Source organism: Homo sapiens, chromosome 5 (genome assembly GCF_000001405.40).
Source record: "Homo sapiens chromosome 5, GRCh38.p14 Primary Assembly".
Taxonomy (NCBI): domain Eukaryota; kingdom Metazoa; phylum Chordata; class Mammalia; order Primates; family Hominidae; genus Homo; species Homo sapiens.
Window position 1 is genome coordinate 169,615,449 of NC_000005.10, and position 5,606 is coordinate 169,621,054.

The following is a 5,606-nucleotide window of genomic DNA, read 5'->3' on the forward strand; positions in this document are numbered from 1 at the left end:
AACTGAACAGCATCATCAATCAACTGGATCTAATTGACATTTATAGAACAACAGCAGAATACACATTTGATATGGTTTGTTCCTGTGTCCACACCCAAATCTCATCTTGAACTGTCATCCCCAAGTATCAAGGGAGGGACAAGGTGGGTGGTGACTGGATCATGGGGGTGATTTCTCATATGCTGTTCTCATGATAATGAATGAGTCCTCATGAGATGCTATGGTTTTATAAGTGTTTGGAAGTTCCTCCTTCACTCTTCTCCCTCTCCTGCTGCCTTGTAAAGAAGGTGCCTGCTTCCCTTTCCATCATGATTACAAGTTTCCTGAGATCTCCCCAGCCATGCGGAACTGTGAGTCAATTAAATCTCTTTCCTTTATAAATTACCAAGCCTTGGGTAATATCTTTATAGGAATGTGAAAATGGACTAATACAACAATCTTTTCAAGTTCACATGGAACATTCACCTTAATAGACCATTTTGAGGCCATAAACACACATTAACAAATCTAAATGAATAGAAATCATACAAAGCATGCTCTCAGATCATGATGAAATTAAGCTAGAAATCAATAACAGAAAGATAGCTGGAAATATCTCCAAATTAAACAACATACTTTTAAATAACACGAGTTTAAGAAGTCTTAAGAGACATTTAAAAATTGTTTAAGCTAAATGGAAATGAAAACACAATTGATCTAAATCGAGGGATGCAATGCAGGAAGTGCTTCAAGGGAAATTTCTCACATTAAAAGCATATATTAGAACATTCAGGAGATCTAAAAGTCAATGCTCTAAGTTTCCACCTTAGGAAACCAGAAAAAAATAGCAAATTATATCCAAAGTAAGGAGAGGAAAATCAATAATAAATAGAGCAGAAATCAGTGAAGTTAAGAACAGGAAATAAGTAGAGAAAACCAATGAAACAAAAAGCTGCTTATTTGACAGGATCAATAAATTAATAAACTTCTAGCCAGGCTAACTGAGAAAAAAAAGGGAGAAGATATAAATTATTAGTACTAGAAATAAAAGAAGGGTTATCACCACTGATCCCACGGCCATTGAAAGGATAATAAAAGAATATCACAAACAACTCTATGCCCACAAATCTGAAAACTTAGATAAAACGGACCTATTCCTTGAAAGACACAACCTACCAAAATTCACATGAGGAAAAATGGATAATCTGAGAAGGCCTATACCTGTTAAATAAAATGATCAGTAATTAATCACCTTCCAAAACAGGAAGCACCAAACATTTGGTAGAATTCAAACAGTTGAATTCTACCAAACATTTAAATGGAATGTATCTCAATTCTCTGCAATCATTTTTAGAGAATGGAAGCAGACAGAGCACTTCCTAACTCATTCTACATGGTCAGCATTACCTCAATACCAAAACCAGACAAAAACCTTACCAAAAAAAATACTATAGACCAATATTTCTCATGAACAAAGATGCAAAACTTTTCAACAAAGTATGAGAAAAATGAACCCAACAATGTACAAAAAGAACTATATGTCATGACCAAATGTGATTTACTCTAGGTATGTGAGGCTGGTCCAACATTCAAAAATCAGTTAATCCATCACATCAACAGACTAAAGCAAAAAAAAATTACATGATAATATCAATAGATGCAGAAAAAGTATTTGACAAAATCTAACACCAATTTATGACAAAAACTCTCAGCAAACCAGGAATAGAGAGAGACTTTCCAAACTTGCAAAAGGACATCAACAAAATACCTACTGCTAACACCATGCTTAATGGTGAGAAACTTGGCACATTCCTACAACCACTATGGAAAACAGTGTGGAGATCCCTTAAAGAATTAAAAGTAGAACTACCATTTGATCCAGCAATCCTGCTACTGGGTATCTACCCAGAGGAATAGAAGTCATTATATGAAAAAGATACTTGCACACACATGTTTACAGCAGCACAATTTGCAATTTCAAAAACATTGAACCAACCCAAATGCCCATCAATCAATGAGTGGATAAAGAAACTGTGAGATATATATATATGTATCTCACTCAACTGTGAGATATATATATATGTATCTCACTCAACTGTGAGATACATATATATATATGTATCTCACTCAACTGTGAGAGAGATATATATGTATGTATCTCACTCAACTGTGAGAGAGATATATATATATCTCACTCAACTGTGAGATATATATATATATATCTCACTCAACTGTGAGAGAGATACATATATATATATCTAACTCAACTGTGAGATATATATATATATATATCTCACTCAACTGTGAAACTTTGTGCTTTCCTCCTGATTAGAAACTTGGCAAGGATACCCCCTCTCACTACTCCTATTGAACATTGTACTAGAAGTTCTAGCTCATGCAGTAAGACAAAAAAAAAAAAGGGAAATAAAGATAAACAGGCATGCAGTCTTGAAATAAGTAAATAAAACTGTCTCTTTTTTTCAAATAGCATCATTGCGTATGTAGAAAATCCCAAATAATCAACAACAAAAAGCACCCTGCTAGAACTAATAAGAAATTATAACAAGTTTGTAGGATACAAGGTTAATGTAGGATACAAGGTTAATGTGCAAAAGTCCACTGCTTTCCTATCTACTATTACAACAATACAAAAGTATAACTTAAAATTTAAGACATGATACCATTTACACTATCAACCCCCCAAAATGAAATTGTTATAACAAAATATGTACAATATCTATGTGAGACAAACTACAACACTCTGAAGAAGGAAGTCAAAAAAGATCTAAATAAATGAAGAAACATTCCGTAATTATGGTTAGAAATGTTGCGGGAAGTCAGGAACCCCCAGTGGAGGGACCGGCTGAAGCCACGGCAGAAGAACATGAATTGTGAAGATCTCGTGGACATTTATTAGTTCCCCAAATTAACACTTTTATAATTTCTTACGCCTGTCTTTACTGCAATCTCTGAACATAAATTGTGAAGATTTCATGGACACTTATCACTTCCCCAGTCAATACCCTTGTGATTTCCTATGCCTGTCTTTACTCTAATCTCTTAATCCTGTCATCTTCGTAAGCTGAGGAGGATGTATGTCACCTCAGGATCCAGTGATGATTGCGTTAACTGCACAAATTGTTTGTAGAGCATGTGTGTTTGAACAATATGGAATCTGGGCACCTTGAAAAAAGAACAGGATAACAGCAATGTTCAAGGAACAAGAGAGATAACCTTAAACTCTGACCATCAGTGAGCCAGGCAGAACAGAGCCATATTTCTCTTCTTTCAAAAGCAAATGGGAGAAATATCACTGAATTCTTTTTCTCAGCAAGGAACATCCCTGAGAAAGAGAATGCGTCCCTGAGGGTAGGCCTCTAAAATGGCTGCTTTGAGGGTGGCTGTCTTTTACAATCAAAGCTGTAGGGATGAAATAAGCCCCAGTCTCCCGTAGTGCTCCCAGGCTTAATAGGATGAGGAAATTCCCGCCTAATAAATTTTGGTCAGACTGGTTGTCTGCTCTCAAACCCTGTCTCCTGATAAGATGTTATCAATGACAATGCATGCCCGAAACTTCATTAGCAATTTTAATTTTGCCCTGGTCCTGTGATCTCGCCTTGCCTCCATTTACCTTGTGATATTCTATTACCTTGTGAAGCACATGATCTCTGTGACCCACACCCTATTCGTACACTCCCTCCCCTTTTGAAAATCACTAATAAAAACTTGCTGGTTTTATGGCTCAGGGGCATCACGGAACCTGCCAACATGTGATGTCTCCCCCAGACACCCAGCTTTAAAATTTCTCTCTTTTGTACTCTGTCCCTTTATTTCTCAGACCGGGTGACACTTATGGAAAATAGAAAAGAACCTACATGAAATATCGGGGGTGAATTTTGCCTGATATCTGGCTGAATTTCCCCTGATATAGAAAGACTCAATACAGTTAAGATATCAGTTCTTCCTGAGTTGAGCTTTAGATTCAATGCAATCCAAATCAAAATTCTAGCAGGCTGTTTGATGGATGTCAATAAATTAGTTATAAGGTTTATATGGCAATGTAGATGACAAAGAATAGCCAAGACAATATGGGAGAAGAAGGACAGTCGGAGGATCGATACTACCCAACTTCAAGGTTTAATATAAAGCTGCAGTAATCAGTACAGTGTGGTGTTGGTGAAAGAATAGACAAATCGATGAATGAACAGATTAGAGAGCCCAGAAATAGACCCACACAAAGTCAACTGATCTTTGATGAAGGAGCAAAGGCAATTCAATAGTGATAGGATAGTCTTTTCAACAAGTGGTGCTGGATCAATTGCATATCCACAAGTAAAACAAAACAAAACAAAATGAATCTAGACATAGACCTCATATGTTTCATGAAAAAATAACTCAAAGTGGATCTTAGACCTAAACATCAAATATACAACTATAAAATTTCTAGAAGATACTACAGTGGCCTGATGGCCATCATAAATCTTATAGACATAAAATGTCTCCTATAATGTATTACTTTAGGGTCTTGTAAGACAAAAAAGAACCAAAATATCAGAGGACTCAGAACTCCTCTCCCATGTCCCCAGCCATAGACAACAAAAATTATTTATTAAAGATTGTGCTGGTGTGCTGGAGCCAAGATGGCCGAATAGGAACAGCTCTGGTCTACAGCTCCCAGCATGAGCAACACAGAAGACGGTTGATTTCTGCATTTCCATCTGAGTTACTGGGTTCATCTCACTAGGGAGTGCCAGACAGTGGGCACAGGACAGTGGGTGCAGCGCACCATGCGCAAGCCGAAGCAGGGTGAGGCATTGCCTCACTCAGGAAGCACAAGCGGTCAGGGAGTTCCCTTTCCTAGTCAAAGAAATGGGTGACAGACAGCACCTGGAAAATCGGGTCACTCCCACCCTAATACTGTGTTTTTCTGATGGGCTTAAAAAATGGCGCACCAGGAGATTATATCCCACACCTGGCTCGGAGGGTCCTATGCCCACGGAGTCTCACTGATTGCTAGCACAGCAGTATGAGATCAAACTGCAAGGTGGCAGCGAGGCTGGGGGAGGGGCGCCTGCCATTGCGCAGGCTTGCTTAGGTAAACAAAGCAGCTGGGAAGCTCGAATTGGGAGGAACCCACCACAGCTCAAGGGGGCCTGCCTGCCTCTGTAGGCTCCATCTCTGGGGGCAGGGCACAGACAAACAAAAAGACAGCAGTAACCTCTGCAGACTTAAATGTCCCTATCTGACAGTTTTGAAGAGAGCAGTGGTTCCCCCAGCATGCAGCTGGAGATCTGAGAATGGGCAGACTGCCTCCTCAAGTGGGTCCCTGACCCCTGACCCCCAAGCAGCCTAACTGAGAGGCACCCCCCAGTAGGGGCAGACTGACACCTCACACGGCCGGGTACTCCTCTGAGACAAAACTTCCAGAGGAACAATCAGACAGCAGCTCCTGAAGGAAGCACTAAACATGGAAAGGAACAACCAGTACCAGCCACTGCGAAATCATGCCAAATTGTAAAGACCATCTAGGCTAGGAAGAAACTGCATCAACTAATGATCAAAATAACCAGCTAACATCATAATGACACGATCAAATTCACACATAACAATATTAACTTTAAATGTAA